The following is a 23,932-nucleotide window of genomic DNA, read 5'->3' as shown; positions in this document are numbered from 1 at the left end:
TCTTAATCACAAATAGTGCTGCAAAAAGGGCCCTGAGAGTTTAAGGAGCAATGTGATGTAGAAAAAAATATACTGGCTCTGAAGCCAGAAGACTAAGACTTCTTCAAGGTCACACACCGAGCACGCAGCCCTGAATACGCCTTTCCCTGTTTTGATGAAAGTTACACATACGGGTGCTCAAACCCTACTTAATCGACAAATTGATGTGTGTCCCTGGAATTGTTTGTGCAGCCAACTGCATATGAATCCGAGAGAGGCGAGGGCGTTAGAAGGGCGAGCGTCTGGGATATTTTAATATTCAGTATTTTCAGACTCAGCAGGCAGCAGGCTAAATCTGTCTGCTGATGGGCAGGCATGAATTATGAAACCACTCGCGCAGGTTGAGAGGTTACACTGAGCTGGGGAGGTTCCGCCACCAGTGTCTGCTCAAAGTGGTTGGGGGATGGGGTACTTCCCACTTAGGAGGGAAGGGGGGAATATGAACAGGTGAGTGGCCACAGTGGGGCTGAGACCCGTAGACAGTGGGACCAGCGGGGGCTTCCCAAATCCTGGGCCCTCAGACTGCAGGATCAGAAGAGGGAAAAAACCCCATAGGACCGGCTCAGCTTCCCGAGGCTGGAGGGTGAGGCTGCCCCCTAGTGGCTGAAGTTCACGACCGGACGGACGTTCAAGGAGTCCCGGGCGTTCCAATGCTTTCTCCCAGGAAGTGGGCTCTGCAGGCTGGAGTTGCCCTAGTGTCAGGGTGAAGGCTGGGAGCCAACGTCTAATCATCAAGGTGATGGAACTCTGAGGGCTGAAGGTAAGATAGGAGGGGGTGGCAGTGGAAGATTGTGTGTAATGGCCAGGGGAGAGAATAAAGAAGCCGAGACTCTGTAGTAATACTTGACAACAGCAGCTCATTAAGTATAACTACTTATTGATGTTCTGTTTGTATCTGACATGGCGCTAAGCATCTCACATATTTTCTCAATTTATCACAACAACCTATTCATTAGATATAATTACTTTCAAATATACAGATGAGAGGCAATGTAAATAATCAGTATCATCATTACAATGTGTGTGGTAGTTTATAGCTATGTAATACTGTTGCATAGGCACTTGAGAAGCATAATCTCTTTCAGTCTTTACGCTTGTTTTTCTGAGGTAGGCTGTATTATTCCTGTTTTTATTATTTCTGTCTTATCATTGAAGAAACTGAGGCTTAGAGAGGGTGTATATCAGTTAGCTTTCGCAATGTAGCAAATCATCCTTCAAATTTAGTGGCTTGAAACAATAGTTACTTATTCAGTTTGTAATGCAGTGAGTTGGCAATTTGGGCTGGGTTCAGCTGGGTGGTTCTTCTGGTCTCAGCTGGTGTGGTGAGACCACTATACCTCGATGGTCAGATGCTGGTCAGCTAGGTGATTCTGCTTCAAGGGATTGGTTAGTTGTGGGCTGGGGTAATGGGTGGAGACTGGTCCACGTGTTTCTCATCTAGCAGGCTAGACTAGGCTTGTAGCTGGAAGGAGTCTGAGAGAGAGAATGGAAACATGCAATATCTCTTGAGGTCCAGGATCAAAACTAGTACAATGCCACTTCTACTCAACTATTGGCCAAGGCAGGTCACATGACTAGTACAGATTTAAGGGGTTAGGAATATAGACTCCACCTGCTGATGGGAGGAGCTGTAAAATCACATAGCAAAGAGTGTGGTTATAGGAAGGGGTGGTGAACTGGGGCCAGTTTTGCCATTTATCACTGAGTGGCTGTGGGGAGTAGAGGACGGCTCCCAGGCAGAAAGAACAGAATGTACAAAGACCGCCCCCAAGACTCTAGGCAGGAAAGAACACGTATAAGCTGGCATGCCTGAAATACAAAAGAGGAGACAGTAGGAGAAGTAGGGGTGAAGTGCTGTTCTTAGAACTTCGTATGGGTTAACTCACTTAATTCTCACAACAACTCCATGAGGCAAACAGTATGAATTTTATTCCCTTTCTAGGAGGGAAAGCTGAGGCATGGAGAGGATGAACAATACCCTAAGTCATACAGCTAGAAAGCAGCAGCATCAGATTCCAACCCTGGGAGCCTAGCCCCAAAGCCCATACCAAAAACCACTTGTTACACTTTTGGCACCACGGCAGGTGCCAATAAAGAACATGGGAAGAAAAGGTTCTTGGTGTAGAGTTTGGGGTCCGAATGTTGAAACTACTTTCCTTAGAGGCTTAAAGACAATAAGGTGGAGATTCCCTGCCACCTGTTTGCCCAAGATTGGGACTGCTTATTCCTGCTTAAATGTAGAAAGGAACTAGGAGAACTCTTGTGTTTCCTTCTGGCTCTGTGACCCTACAAATTGGTGCACAATAGTGTCAGGTGTATTCACTAGGATCCTGTTGGTCTTAAGAAACAAACTGACTCAGTGTAGCTCAAGTTTTAAAGGAGGTGTCCTTAGTGCCTTACTGGGTGAGCTCAGAGAATTAGAGGATCTCAGGAAGGGCAGGAACTAAACGAGATCCCAGGACTTCACTGGTAGTAGTTTGTGGGCTCACTTTCTGGGTTGTAGCAAGCCAGCTGAGTCAATTCTAAAGACTTCCCATCACTACATCTCCTTGTTCAAGTCTTAACTTTCCATGATAGAGAATATGCCACAACTTGGGTCACATGTTTTTATGCTGGGCCAATTGAACCTGGCCAGGGGAACGGGTTCATGAGTATAACCAAGGCCACTGGGGGAATCACTATGAAGCCATCCTACTCGGGGTCTATTGCTTGGTGGTGGGATGAGTTGTAAGCACCACTACCTACACCCACCTGGACAGTTCCAAGGATGCATCTATTTCTAAAGCAAAGGAGTAGATTTTCTTCTCCCAAGGATCCCAAAGTTCCAGAGATTCTGACCAAACTCATATCCAGCAGCTTTGTTGCAGATACAAATTCTCAGCCAGGGAATTTGGATATAGTTTTATTAATTACATTTTTTGAGTTCAGCAAATAGCTTTCATTAAATTATAACAATACAAGGCAGACAATATATAAGCCCAAACAATTGTACTGTGCAAAGCTTGCATTTATGAGATAGTGCTAGTCAATCCTGACTTCCTAAAAGATCAGGGTTGTAAAATATTTATTAGCAGTTCAAAGACATGTCTTTTTCAAATCCAGTATCTTCTTTAGGATAGATATGAGGGCAGACAGCTCTATTTGTTGATTTCACAGCATGATGTTCTTTGGATGGTTCAAAGGTGCTTCCTTGTGTTTCCAGAGAGATGGAGCTGGGTTCCGTAGATTAACAGTTCCTTTTGTAAGCTTCATGTGTGATTTGCCCCCAGATTGAAAAGTCCGCTTGCACAGATTAAATAAAATCCATGATTTTCAAAAATATATTTTGACTACTTAAATTTCTAGAAGAAAGCTTCCTATATACCAGCACAATTGTCTTGCACCTAAATGCTTTATAACACTGATCATTCTGATTCTTGACATAGATACAATAATTGTGGAAATGTAATCTATTTGGAGAGTTTTGGGGTTGGAAATTTAAGACTCAGATACTCAGCAGGCATGACTTTGCCACCAATCAATTCATTATGTGACCTTGGACGAACACCCCAGAATTGCTATACTTTCTTCTATTTCAATATATAAAACTGGGATTGGTAAATACCAGTTAGGAATGTGTTCAGCTACAAATAATGGAACACCTTTTAGGGGTCTATTTTTCTAACACAACTAGTCAAGATGCAGGAAATGTAGAATTGGTGTAATAATCAGAGGATGTTATTTAGGACCCAAGATTCTTCTCTATTCCTGTGATCAGCCTGTGGTTTTGTCCTTATGGTGGCAAGATGGCCGCTGCACCTTCAAATAGGAGGAAGAGGAAGGGTCATAGGTCAAAGGAAATGCTAGCTGAGTCTGTTTCTCCAATTTTTAGGGAAGCAACAGATTTCCTGGAAGATACCCCTCTGCTTCCCAAATAGTCTTCTCCTTACATTTCATCTGCCAGAACTGAAATGTGCCCACCCTAACTGCGAAGGTGTCTGGGGAGGTGATCTTGTTTTCTGGGCATATTGTAGCCCTGAAATTAAGGGCTTATTGGTAAATAATGAAAAATAAATGTTTTATAGGAACCTAACAGCGTCCTTTTCTGTCCCAAAAGGGTAGATGAAAGCTATTATTTATTGGTCTTCTACCAGTTGGCAAGCATTGTGCTAAGCCTTTTCCACCAATTATGTCAAATTTAATTTCTAACACACACACACACACACACACACACACACACACACATATATGGTAAGTGTGAACTTTATTTTATAGAGATGAAGAAACTAAAACTCAAGAGATTAGGTAAATTGCTCAAGGTTACAGAGTGGGATGAATTAAAAATATCTCCTAACTCTACTGGGTTCAGAAAGGCTGGAGGAGGTTTTGAGTTACTTTGAATATTTTCTGTTGGCCTCTTGGGGAGGATCTTAATTTTCTTTTCTTTTCTTTTTTTTTTAACTCTATATGCCTGAAGCAGGGATGGATGTGGGGGTAAGTGTAGAGCTCCCAGAGGCCCAGGGCCTCCCTCTGAATGCCCACTGTGATGCTGAGGGGCTCTGGCCTGTGCTTCCTTAAGGATGCCACCAATCCTTCCTAGATTTCCCAGAGTTGTAGTGGTCTGCCTCCCCTTAAGGGTCCTCCTATGCTTGAGCCAGATCCCTTCCTCACTGTCGGCCCCATTACAAACTTCATGTAGGTCAACTGCGGTGATTTGAGGGAAATGGAGCAGGACTCAACTGCCCCCCAACTCTCAGGAGCAAATAACATAAAGAGCCATGCTGCAAGTAGTCAAGGATGCAGTGTTGAGAGGTGATTGCTGCCTTTGAATCACCCTTTGCCGCTTGTTGGCCATGTGACTTGCCGGTTACTGGATGACTCCTCATCTCAGTTTCCTCATCTGTAAAATGGGCCTTAACAACAGTACCTCTGTCATTGAGTTGTTGAGAGGATGAACACGTGTAAAATACTTACAACAATGCTACCTACCACATAGCTAACACCCGTGAGTGCTTAATCAGTCTTGCTGAATGTCCTCTTTTAGACATCTTTTTGATCTACTCGATTTTATACATTCATTCTTTCGAATCTTGAGAGCCAAATTTCTTGGGTTGTTCTTTTTCTTTTCTTTTCTTTCCCTTTTTTTTTTTTTTTTGAGATGGAGTCTTGCTCTATTGCCCAGGCTGGAGTGCAATGGCACGATCTCAGCTCACTGCAACCTCCGCTTCCTGGGTTCAAGCAATTCTCCCGCCTCAGCCTCCCAAGTAGCTGGGATTATGGGCACCCACCATCACACCCAGCTAATTTTTTTTGTATTTTTATAGAGACGGGGTTTCATCATGTTGGCCAGGCTGGTCTTGAACTTCTGATCTCCAGTGATCCACCCACCTGGGCCTCCCAAAGTGCTGGGATTACAGGCCTGAGCCACTGCACCAGGCCTGGGTTGTTCTTAGGTGACTGTTTGATTTTAGTGAATACTGTACTTGTCAATAATTGCCTTTGGTTCTAGCTGTTAATACAAAACAAGAAAAAGGATAGCTAATATTTGTTGAGCTCTTATTTTTCTGCTTTTCTAAAATACGGGTTAACAGGACAGTATGAGTTGAGCCTCCTAGAGTTGTGCAATATGGTGGCCCTTGCATTAGTCAACTTGGGAGTGATGGGTTGGTAAATAGCAAAGATCACTTTGTTTTCATCACTGTTGAAGCTAAGCCTGCAGTTTTAAATACGCTGTTTTCTTTGGCACCAGTTTTACTTTCTTCCAGGCCCATGAAAGCCTCCTTCAACCTTCAATGTGATGTTCTTCTGTCTTTCCTCAGCATGCAGCCCCTGCCCAGCAAAACACCATCTGGGGACATGAGGCCAAAGCACCCATATTCTGGTCCCACTTCTAGCACTGCCTTGTGCCATGACATGGGGCAAGTCAATCCCCCATTTTGGGCTTCAGCTTCCCCTTCTAAGAGATGATTCCTAGGGCCTCTTCCAGCTCTCCTTATTTTCCGATACTCACTAAAAGACGCTCTATGACTTTGGGAGCACACGGTGCTTGGGAGATTTTGGTTTTGAAGTTTTCCTTCTGAGGATTGCTTTAATTTATTGGGCATCTTGTTGCTGAAAAATACAATCAAGAAAGAAAACACACAAATGCCTTTTCCTTCTACAAATGTGATGCTTAAATAAAATTCAGTTCCATGGAGCAAACACAGGGGAGTATAAATGGATAGGGTTTCTCTTGTCTTTGAGCAGTCCCAGAGGAGGCTGTAAGCAGCAGGATATCCCTTCAACCAGATGGGCTGCCGAGCTTAGAGAGCCAAGCAGTCACAGAGAAGAGAGAAATGACTTGTGGAAATAAGGAAAGGCTGGTTACCGTGATGTCAGTTTATTCTCACAGCTGAATATAGTCAGTCTGGAAGCCAGAAAGAAGATGAAGATTAACTACGCTGAGAGGCTCTCAAACTCGAGCTGATGGGCATGATGTTCCAAGTCACAGTCCAGTGTCTGATAGGAATATGGCCCATTGAGTTAACTTTGGATGTGAGACATCCTTGAGAGCAGGACTAGGCTCAGGAAACATTGACAGGGTTAGATGACACTCCACCCCCCTTTGGTGGTTTTGTCCCATTTTTCTTGGTGCCATGAACAGCTTGGGATATCTACGGTTTCTTGCTGCCTACAGAGCCCTCTCCTATCATGTCTCACCCAGACCAGCCTTGTCTTATCCAGTGACACCCTATTTTTAGATTTTTTTTTCTTTCCCCTTTCTCTTATCTTCAATCTTATTAAAATTTTACTTGGGGGAGAGAATGATGAGGGTAGAAAGAGTCATTGTCTTTGGACTCAGGCAGTCTTCAGTGGAAATCTTGGCTCCTTTGTTCATGACAATGAGAACTTAGGCCAGTTCTTTGGTTATCCTGTTTTCTTGCCTTTGAGATGGGTACAGTAAAATCTAACATACAGCATTGTTGACAGAATTGGATGAGATACAAAGCTTATCTAAACAAACAGAAAACAAGACACACACACAAGAAATGCTATTTCTTCCTTCCTGTCCCATCTTATAGCTCCTGCACATTAGCATCTGGAGAACTTAAAAATGTACTGATGCCTGGGATCTGCCTCATCACCTGCTGGGAACTGGTCATCTTTAAAAGCTCCTCAGATGACACTGCAGGCTGGGCCAAGACACGCTGCCCTCAGGAATTGCTGATTAAGAGTTTGCTCCTCTACTCTCAACACCGTTTCTATTCCCATCCCCTTGGATTTGATTCCCAAAGTCAATCTATCTTCTTTATTTCAATCGGACAAACAGTAGGTGCACCAGATCCCTTCCCTCTGCCTGAATATTTGTTTTCCTTGGCACCTTGACAAGAGTAGGGCCATCTTCTCTAAGAGGAGGGAAAGGATGAATAAAGTTTTACTGAAATGTTGTGGCAGAGATCTTTGGTGTAGAATGAGATGTTCTCTGGCACACTGGTGGAGAACCAGAGGGCCCAGGTAGTACCAGTGAGCCAGTTGGCCAGATTTCCTGTCTTCTTTCAGCAATGCTGAGGCAGGAAAACAGGCTGAAAAGCACTTGGTAAATTTAGAAATCAGGGAATTGGTGATTCCAATGTGCAATGGACAGCTAGGGTATGCCAGACCATGAGGTGTGGTCTGGGAAGGGAGACAGGTGTTTAGGGCTGAAATCAGTTCCTGAAATGGCTGACAATGAGCTACTCCTCCTGCCTCCTAGTTACATCTTGCAGGAGACCTTTGAACTATATCCTCTTAGCCCAGCCCAGAGGTTATCTACAGACAATTCCCTTCCAACCCAAAGCTTCTGGTGTCTCTCTGCCTGAAGGTGTTCTGTGGCCATGGGCATTTGGTCCTCACATGGGGCAGGCTGGAAGTATCAGGAAGTTAATGGGTTTGTTTCTATCTTCATTACGGAGGGATGACAGTGGGTGGATGTATTAGCCGGGGTTCTCTAGAGGGACAGAACTAATAGGATAGATGCATATATAAGGGGGAGTTTATTAAGGAGTATTAACTCACATGATCACAAGGTCCCACAATAGGCCATCTGCAAGCTGAGGAGCAAGGAAGCCAGTCTGAGCCCCAAAGCTGAAGAACCTGGAGTCTAGTGTTCGAGGGCAGGAAGTATCCAGCATGGGAGAAAGATGTAGGCCAGAAGAATAAACCAGTCTAGTCTTCCCATGTTCTTCTGCCTGCTTTTATTCTGGCTGCACTGGCAGCTGATTAGATGGTGCCCACCCAGATTGAGGGTGGGTCTGCCTTTCCCAGTCCACTGACTCAAATGTTAATCTCCCTTGGCAACACCCTCATAGACACACCCAGGAACCATACTTTGCATCCTTCAATCCAATCAAGTTGATGGTCAATATTAACCATCACAGTGGATGAACACCCGACTTACTTGTTTCTTGGAGGGACAGTCCTGAGGCATGTTCCACACAGTTTCTCAGAGGTCTCCTATGTGGCCAAGCCCTAGATGCCCAGTGATAGCACATCCACGTGCCCTTTTGCTGGCTTTCCTCTGTCCCCTGCCTCATTCCCTGCTTCCTGTGCATCCTGGTATCACCTTGAAAATAAGCTACTTGGACTCAAATCTTTGTCTTAGGGTCCATCTCTATGGGAAAATACCCACCTTTCATCAGCCTTTACTTACTCAGGGGTTTTTGCATCTCTCTTCATACATCTGCCTTGTGAGATGGACCCGCCAGTGTTCGCTGAGGGGATACATTACAGAGTTCCCCACCTTATATGTGTCTTCATTGTTGAACACACATCTTTCACAGTGAGGGCAGTGCTTTCCAATCTGCAGGTTGTGACCCACTGTGGATTTAAAAATCCACTTACTAAAAATGAAAGGAAATGGATGTGTGTCAGACTGTATTATACATTGCAAGGCGCATATTGTTATATGAAAATTTCATTTCAGTCGTGTGTATAGATGCTCACATGTTGGTGAAATATATTTCTTAACGTGCAACACGGTCAAAAATTTTGGAAGCCACGCTTTAGTGGGTCTCTGTGTTTTTTTAAATCCCAGAATCCATTCTTCCCTTTCCCTCTGGTAACAGCACCTCAGTATTCCTTTCAACAAGGAAAAAAGCCTGTGTTCCTCATTCCGCAGTCTTGATTGGACTGTCAATCATGGTGTTCTGTTGTTCCTTGGTCAAAAGATGATCACATGACTCATGATAGGTCAGTCAGGTGATTGCTCTAGGGAACCAGAAGGAGAAACACAAGGGCTGAAAAGAGTTGAAGATGCTTCATTCAAAAGGGATGTCTGGAAGACAGTATCTATTTTTTCCCCTGCTCCCCGGATCCTTGAACTTCTTTGATTTTTTCTCCCTGTCAACATCTGGTGGTTCAGTTGTTGGGTGGCTTCCACAAAATGCCTGTGGACTACTGCTTTATTTCCCCATCCTTAGGAAGGTAGAGCTGTTTTCTGTTTCTAGAAATCAAAGAACCTTCCCATGTATGAGGGCTTTGGAGTTAGTTGATCCTGACTCTACTACTTCCTGGCAGTGTTGATCCTGACTTTACTACTTCCTGGCTGTGGAAAATTACTTAACCTTTGCAAGCTTCAGGTTCCTCTCTTGTAAAATGGGGATAGAAATGCCAGGCTGAAGGTTATGGATGATGTTTATGTAGCCATTGGCCCTAGACGTTCAACTGATGGCGGCCACTATTCTGGGCCATATCTTATTCATCTTTGTTTTACTAGTGATTACTTTTTACTTATTTTCCATACCTATGTGGAAAATTAATGAATTCTCATGACAATGTGGATTTTTACAACTAAAACCCACAGTTAAATTTGTTTAGATATTTACAACCCCTTGGTTATTACACATGTGATTTATTGTTCAAAAACATAAGAAAATATCCATGGTGTGAGGTTAGACAAAAGAGTTCTTACACATAATAACAAAAGCACAATCCATAAAAGAAAAAAATCAATATATTGGACATAATCAAAATAAAAACTTATGCTCTGTGAGAGACAATATTAAGAGAATAAAAATCAAGCTACAGACTAGGAGAAAATATTTGCACATCATATAGCTAACAAAGGACTTCTATCTAGAATATCAAAACACTTTCAAAACTCAGAAAATATATAACCTAATTAAAAATAGGTGAAAGATTTAGAGATATAATCAAAGAGAACATATGGGGGACAAAAAAGCATATTAAAGATGCTCAAAATCATTAGTTATTAGGGAAAAGTGATTTAAAGCCATAATGAGATACAACTACCTACCTATCAGAATGGCTAAAATAAATAATACTGATACTACCAAGTGCTAACAAGGATACAGAGCAGATGAAACTCTCACATGTTACTGGTGGGAATAAAAAATAAGTCAATTGCTCTGGAAGACAACTTGATAATTTCTTATAAAGTAAAAGATACATTTGCCATATGACCCAGCAATCCTATTCCTGGTTATTTACCCTAAAGAAGTGAATACTTATGTTCACAGAAAAACCTGTACACATATTCATAGCAACTCTACTTATAATCATCCCAAGCAATTTAAATGTCCTCCAGCAGGTGAATGGATAAACTGTGGTATGTACACCAAGTAATGCTACTCAGTAATAAAAAGGAATGAACTATGGATGCCCACAGTAAACTTGCAGGAATATCAAAAGCATATGCTGAGTGAAGGAAGCCTGCCTCAAAACATTGCATAGTGTATGATCCCATTTGTATGGAACAGATCAGGGATTAGACATCAGGGGATGAGGGGATTAGGGGAAGGTGGAAGGTTTGACTGTAAAAAGATAGCACAAGAGAATTCTTTGGGATGATGGAACTGCTCTGTATCCTGATTATGATGGAGGTTATATGAATCTACATGTATTAAAATTCATAGAACTATACATCAATATGTCAATTTTCCTACATGGTAATTTAAAAACCCTTTTCATTATGTAGAGTCGTTTGTTGGTTATGTGGAGTCCTTTGTTGGTTATGCAGAATCCTTTGTGGTTATGTGATTTGCCCTTGTGTTCATCTGGATATTTTGGTATTCCATAGACCTGCCCTGTCGAACACAGTAGCCACTAGCCACATGTACTTAGGCTAGTCTGAACTGAGGTGTGTTCTAATTGCAAAGTGGATACTGGATTTTGAAGACTTAGAATGAAAAAAGAATGTAAAATAGCTCGTTAATTTTTAAATAATGATACTTTTAAAGAAATAAAATGATACTTTTAAATAATAATACTTCTAAATACACTTTAAATAATGAAAATATACTATTTTGAATATATTGGATTAAATGAAATGTATTATTAAAATTAATTTCACCTTTTTCCTCTTCCTTTTAAAAATGTGGTTACTAGAAAGTCATAATTACAATATGTGACTTGTGCTATATTTTTATGGGACAGCACTGCTCCAGATGAAACAAATGGGGAAGAATAGGGAAATCTGGATTCTTCTCTCTCCATTAGAGTCAGGTGTAGGATTGCCCCATGCAGTGCTGACCAAGGCCCACCTGGACTCCTGTGTTTGGAGGCTGCTCACTTCCGCCCAGTTTGTCTGAGGAGGTGAAAGCCACTCACAACATCTGCTTTATTTCCCATTTGGTTGGCTTCCGCTAACCTTCGTGGGAAGAAGAAGATGAGGGGAGGATAAGGGTCATACAAGGTGGGGTAGGTTGAGGGTTTAGACTTGTAAGAGCATCAAGCTTTGCTGTTAGATTTGCACTTGAATTCTGTTTCAGCCACCAGGTAGCTGAGCAGCTCTGAATCTTTCTTTCTTTTTTTCTTTTTTTTTGAGACGGAGTCTCACTCTGTCACCCAGGTTGGAGTACGGTGATGCGATCTCGGCTCACTGCAACCTCTGCCTTCCAGGTTCAAGCGATTCTCCTGCCTCAGCTTCCCACCACCACGCCCAGATAATTTTTGTATTTTTAGTAGAGACAGGGTTTCGCTATGTTGGCCAGGCTGGTCTTGAACTCCTTACCTCAGGTGATCCACCTGCCTCGGCCTCCCACAGTGCTGGGATTAGAGGTGTGAGTTTTTTCATGTGCCATATAAACTTTATATACACATATATATGTATATAAAGTTCCCCCAGGGGTTTCTTTATGCATAAAGCTTTCCCCAGGACACCCAGGGAGAGTTCACTGAAAGCACCCAGGAGACCCTCAGGAAGTGATAATTTTGCTACTGCCATTACTGCATTGTGTGGTGTTTGCTCTCCTAACTCTGACTTGGTTCTTCCTCCCTCTGTCCTGCCTTCCCTCCTCTCTCTTTCTCTCTCTCTCTCTGTGTGTGTGTGTGTGTGTGTGTGTGTGTGTGTTGAGCCTCACAGGCAATCTGCCCAACTTTTCTCCCTGATTCAGCACTGAGAAATGCCAAGGAGAGCGTTCCCATGAAGCTGCTTGTCAGCAAACACCCACTCTCGTTTCAACTCTCCTCAGTGTGTCAGAGCCTGGCCTGGACTCCACGCGAGGCCCAGGGCCGTGCCAGCTCCCAAGACTGATTCACACACACCCTGCTGCACAGAGACTTCAGGGCTACACTCCCAACCTGTGAGACAAGAGATTGGAGGCTCCCAAACGAAGCAACCATCCAGAGGAAAAAGCCCTCCAGCCATCTACAGAGGGTGCAGCAATTTTCCTGGATTCTGTTTCAAAGACATAAAAGCCTTGGTTTCAAACATTTAGCTGCTGCCTGGCCTGCCTTTCTCACTTTCTCTCCTTTGCCTTGCGTTTCAATTGCACTTTTATTAAATCATTCTTGTTGCTTGCCTCCAGCCGGCTCAGTGTCGGCATCAAATATTAGGTAGGTGCAGGGAAAATGAATACTTTTCCAGCTACATAGATTTTCATCACAGGGACATATTAAGTATCTGTCTGGGCCTGGCGGTGTATGACGCTCTGTGACAGGGAAGTTAAATAGACATGAGTGGTCTCTCGGGGCTTGTCCACAATGGTGGCCACAGTTGTTACCTGGTAGGGTTATGTTGTTTCCCACTAGGGCTCTGAGAGCCGCAAGGCCCTGTCAGATCCCAAGTTCAGAGGGCTGTGGTTTAAAGACTTCAGAAGCAGGCCTCGAGGCCCTCTTCCATGAGAGTGGCAGTGTGACAGGGTGGCCAAGCACATGGGTTTTAGAGTCCAGCAGCTCTAGGTTTGCACCTGGGATTACAGGCATAAGCCACCACGCCCGGCAACTTAGCACTTTTAAACCTGGGTTTTGCTGTCTGTAAAATAGCCACATACAGCAGGTTCTCCACTAACTTTGTTTCATTTGTTCAACGTTGTTTTGTTATAACATTGATGGGGAAAAAAAATTGACTCCTGGCTGAGTCCACTGTTTGTGTGGAATTTGCATATTTTCCCAATGTCTATGTGGGTTTTCTCCAGGTACTAGGGTTTCCTCCCACATCCTAAAGATGTGCACATGAGGTGAATTGGTGTGTCTACATGGTCCCAGTATGAGTGGGTTTGGGTGTGGGTGTGACTATACCCTGTGAGGGAATGGTGCCCTGTCCAGGCTTGGTTCCCATCTTGTGCCCTCAACCGCCTACTGGTGACTCTGAGCTGGAACAATTGGCCAAACAATTATCTTACTTGCTTTTATTAAGCTTCTTAAATATATCTATAGCTCACATTTTGTTGCTGTTGTTGTTGAGACAGGGTCTCTTCATCGCCCAGGCTGGAGTGCAGTGGCACAATCATATCTCACTACAGCCTTGACCTCCCAGGTTTAAGCGGTCCTCCCATCTCAGCCTCCTGGGTAGCTGGGACTCTAGGTGTTCACCACCACACCCAGCTAATTTTTTTGCATATATATATATATATATATATATATATATATTTTTTTTTTTTTTTTTTTTTTTTTTTTGTAGGGGTGGGGTTTTGCTATGTTGCCCAGGTTGCTCTTGAGCTCCTGGGCTCAAGCAATTTGCCAGCCTCAGCCTCCCAAAGTGCTGGGATTGCAGGTGTAAGCCACTGCTCCTGGCTGTATAGCTCACATTTATTACAATGTTTAATATTACAAGTGTTTTAGGTCTTTATTTATAAGTTTGGCGAGATTTCTGTGTCCAGAAATATGGCATAGGAACATAACTCTTGTTTGTATCAATTAGCCTGTGATGAAATTGGTTTCATTATATGCTGTTTTGCTGTTTCGCTTAAAGTCACAGTTTCCAAGAACCTATTGACAATGTTGAGGAGTTACTGTAGCAGAGGACAAAGGGAATCAATGTTGAGGGGTTACTGTTGTAGAGAACAAGGGAATCAAACTATCCAAATCATTTCTTTTTACTATGACTGAGGCTTGTAAGTGATAACGGCATGGGAAGCACCCAGGTCAGTGCCTGTATATTGACCATTCAATAGGGGTTGGCTATCATCATCATTCCTGAGTTTAAAAACAGCAGCAGAGTTCAAGAATTGTGTGTGTGGAGGCAATTCATTATCAAATTGGAATAGTGCCAGGTACATGACAAATGAATGAATTCTGAGAATATTTCTCAGTAGTTTATCATCTAATAATAATGTTTGAGATGTCCGTCATTTTATAGTTCACAGAGCACTTTGTTACACATAATTCCAGCTGAGCCCCCACAATAGGTCTGCAAAGTATGGAATGCAAGAAATTGATTTTCCTGTTTTACAGGTGGGAAACTGGAGGCTCAGAGTTTAACAGCTGCTCATTTCTGCAACAGTCTTTTAATGAGCACTAACTACGCGCAAGACTCTTATGTTAGGTTCCGGGATAAAAGTGAATTAAGATTTTTTTTTCCTATCCTTTGGAAGAAATTGTTGTGGGTCAGGGTAGCTGGAACGGGCTTAAAGGAGGATGCTGAACTTCAGGTACTGTATCCATCAGGATAGATTAAATGATGGTGCAGAAAAACAACAATAACAACAAACTTTGATGGCTTAAAAAACAAAGATTTATTTCTCATTCATGCGATTAGCCCATGATTGGTGTACTAGTGGCTCTGCCCCACTGTATTAGTCCATTTTCACACTGCTGATAAAGACATACTCGAGACTGAGAAGGAAAAAAGAGGTTTAATTGAACTTACAGTTCCACATGGCTTGGGTGGCCTCAGAATCATGTTGGGAGATGAAAGACTCTTCTAACACGGTGGCAGCAAGAGAAAATGAGGAAGAAGCGAAAGCAGAAACCCCTGATAAACCCATCAGATCTTGTGAAATTTACTATCACGAGAATAGCAGTCTCTTGGCTAAAACATAACAAGAATCACCTTTGCTCCAGTTCCCAACAAGTTCCTTATCTCCCTCTGAGACCACCTCAGCCAGACCTTATTGTTCATATTACTATCAGCATTTTTGTCAAAGCCATTCAACAAGTCTCTAGGAGGTTTGAAACTTTCCCACATTTTCTTATTTCTTCTGAGCCCTCCAAACTGTTCCGACCTCTGCCTCTTACCTAGTTCCAAAGTTGCTTCCACATTTTCGGATATCTTTTCAGCAGCGCCCCACTCTACTGGTATCAATTTACTGTATTAGTCTGCTTTCACGCTGCTGACAAAGACATATCCAAGACTGGGAAGGGAAAAGAGGTTTAATTGGACTTACAGCTCCATATGGCTGGGGAGGCCTCAGAATCATGGTGGAAGGCAAAAGGCACTGCTTGCATGGCAGTGGCAAGAGAAAACGAGGAAGAAGCAAAAGTGGAAACTCCTGATAAACCCATCAGATCTTGTGAAACTTATTCACTATTAGCAGGGGAAAAATTGGCCTCCATGATTCAATTACCTCTTCCTGGTTCCCTCCCACAGCACATGGGAATTCTGAGAGATACAATTCAAGTTGAGATTTGGGTGGGAACACAGCCAAACAATATTACTCAATTCATGATCACTATAAACTGAACTGATGGGGCAGCTGCCGATGGGAGCCCTGTTGGTGACAGAAGAGAGATTTGAGATTGGCAGGGCCTCACACCAGCAACCAAATTCTCCACTCATGTGTCAGACTCTTCCTATGGCCTCAGCTGACCATAGGGAGAAAAGCAGGAAGTAAAATTCTGCTATGTGCCTAGAAGGCAGAGAGCTGGAACTATTTGGTGAATGAAATAATGACTACTCCAACCAGGTAGGCTCTAAAGGATGGGTAGGAAACAGGTGAATATTTGTGGGATGGGATTGAGGTGGGGAGAGTGGAAGAGGGGAAGAGATAATGTGGAGCCTTAAAGGAATGGAGGAGGTGGGAAGTGATGGAAGAGAGTGATGGAAGGAGGCAGAAATCTCCAATAAAAGGGGATGGGATAGTGAGTGTGCCAGTCTGGCTGGAAGAGTCTGATTCAACAATTTAACAAATAGAGACTCAGCTCCTATTGTGTATTAAGTGGTGGAGATGCAAAGAAGGAAAAATCATGGCACTTGCTTTTGAGGAGCTTATAACCTCATAGGAGAGCTAGATTTTGCACAGAGAATGAAGGAAATCAAACTATCCAAATATAAGAAAGATCGGTGCTTATGTTTGCCAGCTACTCTTCCAACACTTGTATTTTCATTCGTTTAATCATCATTGTAGTTCTATGATGCAGATGCTATTAGTATCCCCATTTTACAGATGACAACACAGGCATGGAAGGGCTGGTAAATAGCAGAAGTGGGCTTCAAATCCAGGCACTCTGAGTCCAGTGTCTGTGCCCATCTTAATCCTAAAACTTTACTGCTTTCTGCTTGATAACTTGTGAGTTGGGGCTGTGTTTGTAGTCTTGGATGGCAAGGAGTTCTGCCCTGAGATCCAAAATGATAGATTAATATTGGCTGCCTGGAGCTCCATAGTGGGATGGTTTCCAAGACCAAGCTGGGGCTCAGGGAGAAAAGAAAGATGTGATTAATTAGTAATGCCTGCCATGGCCAAGATAGATGGTACTGTCAGCACAATGTATTTGATAACCCTGGTCTATGCAATGCCTAGGGAAAAATGGATTTAATCAATTTATTAACAAATAAAGAAAGTAAAAACCAAACAACTAATTCATTGACTGTTTTCCTCACTTTTCAATCTGTTTTTACTTTTAGGCTCCATCACTTTTATGGCAGCATACGTACTTCTTGTTCAAACAGTTGGCTTTCATTTCTGGAGATTAATGTTTAATATATCATAACTGTAGTCCCTCAGGCAAACATACACCTTAATTGTCAAAACAATGAAAATATCATTCATGGCAAATATTCAATCCATTGCACTCTTGTTGCGGTCATCAGCTGGATTTTTAGAGAGAAGTCGGAATATGTCACGGCAATACGAATAATAAAAAAGGGAATCTAATTGCTGTAGCCAATTACTATACAAGGAAGAATTCATCAGCTGACTCAGGGAATTCAGCCACAAGAGAATCCAGCTGTAGCATGCATCATTAGTGGAATTTCTTGCCTGAAAATGGTGAGAGGCTTTCCTCTGAAGAGAAGGTTCTAGAAACACTGTTTCTTGTTTTGTTTTTCCCTACCCCAACCTCTTTTCTTGACTCTTCTTCTCCCAAATCCTACTCCTTTCTATGCTCAGACTCTTCTTTCTTTCATAGTTTTCCCAGACATTGCTGGGAATGGATTCTACATTCAGTTACATGGAGGTATAGATTCTAACTAACTAGCAGGTTAGCATTTGGATGACGAGTAGGTTTCCTCTCCTTGGCCAGATGTGGTCAACTGCTGTGGCTACTGAAATCCTGAGTTGAGAAGGTTTAGTTTAGAAGATGAACTTCACCTAAAAGAGTATTGTGATTGATTAGTGATGTCTGTTCTGGGTATGAGTGAGGTACAATTATTTGTGTAAGCTTCTATCAGCTCTGTCAAGGTGGAAAGCCAACACTGTTCTTATAGCTGTGATTTTAATGAATGAACTTGGGATTTGGTCCCAGGAGATGCTAGTTTAGGTCCCACCTCTTCTCTTTCTATGTAAATCTTGGATATTCTTGGATGTGTCACTTATTTTTTCTCAGTCTTAGTAAAACTTGAATTAAAATAATCCTCCTTATGGAGTGATTGTAAATATTGTAAGACTGATGCAGCTTCATTCATTCAATCATTCATCCAGAAAATATTTCTTGAGCACCTACTATGTGCCAGGCAAGGTGTGACCTGCTGGGAGTACAGTGAGGGGTAATATGGATGTGGTCTCACCCTCAGAGAGCATGCATCTAGTGGGGGAATGTGTTAGTTTTCTATTGCTGCATCACAAATGACCACAAACTTAGAGGCTTAAAACAACATACTCTATTGTCTCACAGTTTCTCTGAGGCAGGAGTCTGGGTCTGGCTTAGCTGGCTTCTCTGTTCAGGATCTTATAGGGTTGTAGTCAGGGTATCACTGAGCTGAGTTCTCAACTAGAAGCTTGCCTGGGGAAAAAGTCTGCTTCCATGTTCATTTAGGCTGTTAGTAGAATTGACTTTCCTACCATAGTATGTCTGCAGGTCCCAGCTTCTGGATAGCTGTTGGCTGGATTCCACCCTCAGGTCCTGGAGACCACCCACAGAAACAAAGAGGCCTCCTGCAGTTCCTTGCCACATGGGCTTCTCCAACCTGACCACTTACTTCAATCAGCCAGCAAGGAGGGTCTCTTGCTCCAGTTTCCTGAAATGGAGTCAAACATATCATAATACTGGGGATGACATTCCATCACCTTATTGGTTAGAATCAAGACACAGGTCCTCTCCACCCTCCAGGGGGGAATATATCAAGGAACGAAGAGTAGGGGGCAAAAATTACTGGGGGTTACCTTAGAGTTTCTCCACTGCAGAGGTGGACACATAAGCAAGAATAACAACAGTGTGTTAATTGCTATGGCAAGGGAGCTCCAGGGTGTAAGAAAGTGCATACTGGGGCACGTGAACAGTCTCAGGGTTGTCAGGGAGGACTTCCTGGAAGAAGTGACTTTTAACTGACACCCAAAGGTTGAGTAGGATTAGCTATATCATAATGTAGTATCCAGATATTAGGTTTTGTTGTTGTTATTTTTTATCACCTAGAATGGAAACTATTTATTAGTTAAGGTCTTTCCAGCCCAGAATACAGTAGGACTCATTCGATACTTGCTCTGAAGACTCTTCTGTTAATGCATCCCCAAAGAAAAGCAGCTCATGTTCTCAGCTTTGGGGTGACATGGAGATAAGTACTAGGGCTGGAAGGGTGATAGTAGGTCAAGAATGGAATTCTAGGGATGTCTCTGTCCAGACAGCATCAATTCCCTCCAATGTTCCCATGTAAGGGAGAGAGACCAATGGTGGCTGTAGGACATTATGCAGGAGAAACCACCATCTGCTCCAGATTGGGCCGATGGGTGATGAATCTACGGCCCAGCCAAAGCTTTTCCCATGGCACATGCACCTGTTTAGAAATAATGAGAGCAATCATAATTGTCACCAAAAGTCATGTTCTAATATATTAAGGAATTTTAATAGGAATTACTTGCTGTTAGTAGGAATAGTACATCCTGTTTTTGAGCACTTGCTGTGTGACAGGCACTGGCTAAACCTGATGTGCTTGAGTTGGATAATCTATCTCAAAACAGAGCTTTCTCCATATCTTCCAACAGCACCAAATGAAATGCCAGTGAAAAGGCTGTCTTCCTTTTTTCTTGCTATTAAAATTCTCCTCATCCTGAATGCTCCATCTCCAGTCTCACTTCTTCCAAGAAACCTGTCATGACCACTGTGTGGTCATGATACATATCATCCGTATCATCAAGTTCATCACCAAATTAACTTCTGTCTTCCAGCACTTGCTAAAGAGGATGACTGCATTTTGACGATCCCTTCCCTCTGTTCCTTCCTATCTGTGCTTCCACTTTATGATCTCTATCCCAACTAGTCTGACAACATGAAGCCTGGTCTCTCTGCCAGCAGCCATCCCGTCCCACTGCTCAGCCCTGGGTGGTGCGGACAGATTGGAATTCCTAAAGTTCAGCCCTGATTGTGCCACTTTACAGCTCAGAAACTTCCAGTACCAAATCTTTAATCCACCAGTTTCACTTCTCCCAATGTGCCCTCCAGACCTACTTGCTCATGTGTGAAATGATGACTGGAGTACTTGTTGAGTGCTGTGTTGCTTACAATAGCAAAAAGTCTGAAGCAGCCTGCGTATCCATCAATGGTGTCTTGATGGACAATAAGTTATGGTGGATCTAAAACTGGTTTTCAAGCCTGGCTGCACATTCAGGTCACCTGGGTGTGGTACATTAAGGTGATTACAAATTTTCCTCCTATTCAGAAGTGGAGTCTAATTTCCTTTCCCTCAAATCTGGGCTTGCTTAGGGATTTGCTTGACTAACAGAATGTGGTTGAAGAGATGGTCTGGGACCTCCAAGGCTAAGGCATAAGAAGCTTTGTAGCTTCTGCACTGGCCTCTTGAAACTTTAGCTCTGGGGTGAGTCAGCTGCTATGTAATAAATTCAACTACCCTGAGACCACCATGCTGTGAGGAAGCCCAAGTTAGCTGCCGAGGGAGAGGAAGACACACACACACACACACACACACAGACACACACACAGAGACACAGAGAGAGAGAGACAGAGAGAGAGAAAGAGAGACCCATCTATCCCCAGCTGTTACAGCCCACATGGCTAAGTGGTCCAGGAAGCAGGCAAGTGAGTAAGGAAACTGTATTAGTCTGTTTACATGCTGCTGATAAAGACATACCCAAGACTGGGAAGTAAAAATGGTTTAATAGGACTTACAGTTCCATATGACTGGGGAGGCCTCAGAATCATGGCAGGAAGTGAAAGGCACTTCTTACATGATGGCAGCAAGAGAAAATGAGGAAGAAGCAAAAGCAGAAACCCCTGATAAACCCATCAGATCTTGTGAGGCTTATTAACTATCACTAGAATAGCACGGGAAAGACTGGCCCCCATGATTCAATTACCTAACCCTGGGTCCCTTCCACAACACCTGGGAATTCTGGGAGATACAATTCAAGTTGAGATTTGGATGGGGACACAGCCAAACTATATCATTCTGCCGTGGCCTCTCCAAATCTCACGTACTCACATTTCAAAACAAATCATGCCTTCCCAACAGTCCCCCCAAAGTCTTAATTCATTTGAGCATTAACCCAAAAGTCCACAGTCCAAAAATCTCGTCTGAGACAAGGCAAGTCCCTTCTTCCTATGAGCCTGTAATATCAAAATCAAGCCAGTTACTTCCTAGATACAATGGGGGTACAGGTATTGGGTAAATGCGCCATTCCAAATGGGAGAAATTGGCCATAACAAAGGGGTTACAGGGCCCATGCAAGTCCGAAATCCAGTGGGGCAGTCACATTTTAAGGCTCCAAAATGATCTCCTTTGACTCCAGGTCTCACATCCAGATCACACTGATGCAAGAGGCTGGTTCCCATGTCTTGGGCAGCTCTGCCCCTGTGGCCTTGCAGGGTACAGCCTCCCTCCTGGCTGCTTTCATGGGCTGGCATTTAGTATCTGTGGCTTTTCCAGGCACACAGTGCAAACTGTCAGTGGATCTACCATTCTGGGGTCTGGAGGATGGTGGCCCTCTTCTCACAGCTCCATTAGGCAGTGCCCAGTAGGGACTCTGAGTGGGGGCTCCGACTCCCCATTTCCCTTCTGCATTGCCCTAGCAGAGGCTCTCCATGAGGGCCCTGTACCTGCAGCAAACTTTTGCCTGGGCATCCAGGCATTTCCATACATCCTCTGAAATCTAGGCAGAGGTCCCCAAACCTCAATTCTGTACTTCTGTGCACCTGCAGTCTCAACACCATGTGGAAGCTGCCAAGGCTAGGGGCTTCCACCCTCTGAAGATGCAGCCTGAGTTCTATGCTGGCTCCTTTCAGCCACGGCTGGAGCGGCTGGGACACAGGTCCCTAGGCTGCACACAGCACAGGGACCCTGGGCCTGGCTCATGAAAGCACTTTTTCCTCCTGGGCCTCTGGGAGGAGGAGGCCTCTGTGATGGGAGGGGCTGCCATGAAGGTCTCTGACATGGCCTGAAGACATTTCTCCATGGTCTTGGGGATTAACATTAGGCTCCTTGCTACTTAGCAAAATTCTGCAGCTGGCTTGAATTTCTCTCCAGAAAATGGGTTTTTCTTTTCTATCTCATAGTCAGGCTGCACATTTTCCAAACTTTTATGCTCTGCTTTCCTTATAAAATAGAATGCCTTTAACAGAACCCAAGTCACCTCTTGAATGCTTTGCTGCTTAAAAATTTCTTCCGCCTGGCTGGGCACGGTGGCTTATGCCTGTGATCCCAGCACTTTGGGAGGCCAAGGCGGGCGGATCACCTGAGGTCGGGAGTTTGAGACCAGCCTGACCAACATGGGGAAACCCCGTCTCTACTGAAAATACAAAGTTAGCTGGGCTTGGTGGTGCATACCTGTAATCCCAACTACTTGGGAGGCTGAGGCAGGAGAATTGCTTGAACTCTAGAGGCAGAGGTTGCGGTGAGCCGAGATTGTGCCATTGCACTACAGCCTGGGCAACAAGAGCAAAAGTCCGTCTCAAAAAAAAAAAAAAAAAAAAGGAAAAAGAAATTTCTTCCACCAGATACCCTAAATTATCTTTCAAAGTTCCACAAATCTCTAGGGCAGAGGCAAAATGCCATCAGTCTCTTTGCTAAAACACAGCAAGAGTTACCTTTACTCCAGTTCCCAACTAGTTTTTCGTGTCCATCTGAGACCACCTTGGCCTGGACCTTATTGTCCATATCGCTATTAGCATTTTGGGCAAAGCCATTCAACGAGTCTGTAGGAGGTTCCAAACTTTCCCACATTTTCCTGTCTTCTTCTGAGCCTTCCAAACTGTTCCAAACTTTGCCTGTTACCCAGTTCCAAAGTCGCTTCCACATTTTTGGGTATCTTTTCAGCAACACCCCATTCTACTGGTACCAGTTTACTGTAGTAGTCTATTTTTATGCTACTGATAAAGACATACCCAAGACTGAGAAGGAAAAATGGTTTAATTGGACTTAGATTTCCACATGACTGGGGAAACCTCGGAATCATGTCGGGAGATGAAAGGCACTTCTTATTACATGGTGGTGGCAAGACAAAATGAGGAAGAAGCAAAAGCGGAAACCCCTGATAAACCCATCAGATCTCATGAGACTTACTAACTGTCACTAGAACAGCATGGGAAAGACTGGCCCCCATGATTCAAGTATCTCTTCCTGGGTCCCTCCCACAACATGTAGGAATTCTGGGAGATACAGTTCAAGTTGAGATTTGGATGGGGACACAGCCAAACCATATCAGAAGCGTTCTTGGACATTGCACCACCAGCAGACGTGATATAGACAATCACCAAGGACTTCAGCTGCTGTAGAACCAGGGCCCCATATATATAGCTCTAACTGAGCCACTCCTGCCATCTCAACCACCATAGCTGAGGGCCTCAGTCACTGTGGAGCAGAGACAAGTTGTCCCTACTATACCCTGACCAAATTATTGACTCCAAAAATTTCAAGCATAATAAAATGATTATGGTTTTATGCTTCTAAGTTTTGGGGTGGTTTATTACAGAAAAATAGATAACTGGAACTCCTGGGGATTTTCCAAGATCCTCCCATGTCATTCTAATAAACAACCATGTTGAGAACCAGTGGTCTATAAAATCAAATACTATGTATCCACAGAGATGAATAAAGAAGGTCTTTTCATTTTGCTGTGGGATGATCTACAAATTTATATTGTTGAGGCCAAAATAGAAAGTTACAAATAATTTTTTATACTATGCTACCATTTGTGTAAAAATGTAAAAATATATAGATATGAATAATGTCTAAAATAATACATTAAAGAGTGGTAAGTAACATTTGTTGGCTCCAGAGAGGGAAACTGGATGGCTGGGGAACAGGGGAAAATTTCTACTCAGTACCTTATGACAGCTTTCAAATGTTAAGACATGTGAATGTACCACTTCAAAAGTAAATAAATTCTGCCTG

General features: G+C 43.3%; 1 long non-coding RNA gene across 1 annotated transcript in view, besides 1 other annotated feature; it reads left to right on the top strand.

Moving 5' to 3' along the window:
• The first annotated feature begins 363 nt into the window (after positions 1 to 363).
• LOC107986904 (uncharacterized) overlaps positions 364 to 23,932 on the top strand; it is a 34,186-nt gene continuing 10,617 nt past the window's right edge. The window contains exon 1 of the long non-coding RNA XR_001745738.3: positions 364 to 799. This is a non-coding gene — a long non-coding RNA (uncharacterized LOC107986904). The remainder of the gene's footprint in view (positions 800 to 23,932) is intronic.
• Positions 554 to 873: an enhancer, noted in NCBI's record as "active region_27852". NCBI's record gives its function as "activates an Ori minimal core promoter by ATAC-STARR-seq in GM12878 lymphoblastoid cells {active_cell/tissue: GM12878}" and the evidence as "EXISTENCE:reporter gene assay evidence [ECO:0000049][PMID:35858748]".

This window comes from Homo sapiens, chromosome 8 (genome assembly GCF_000001405.40).
Source record: "Homo sapiens chromosome 8, GRCh38.p14 Primary Assembly".
NCBI lineage: Eukaryota > Metazoa > Chordata > Mammalia > Primates > Hominidae > Homo > Homo sapiens.
This window is presented reverse-complemented; position numbering and strand designations above follow the sequence as displayed.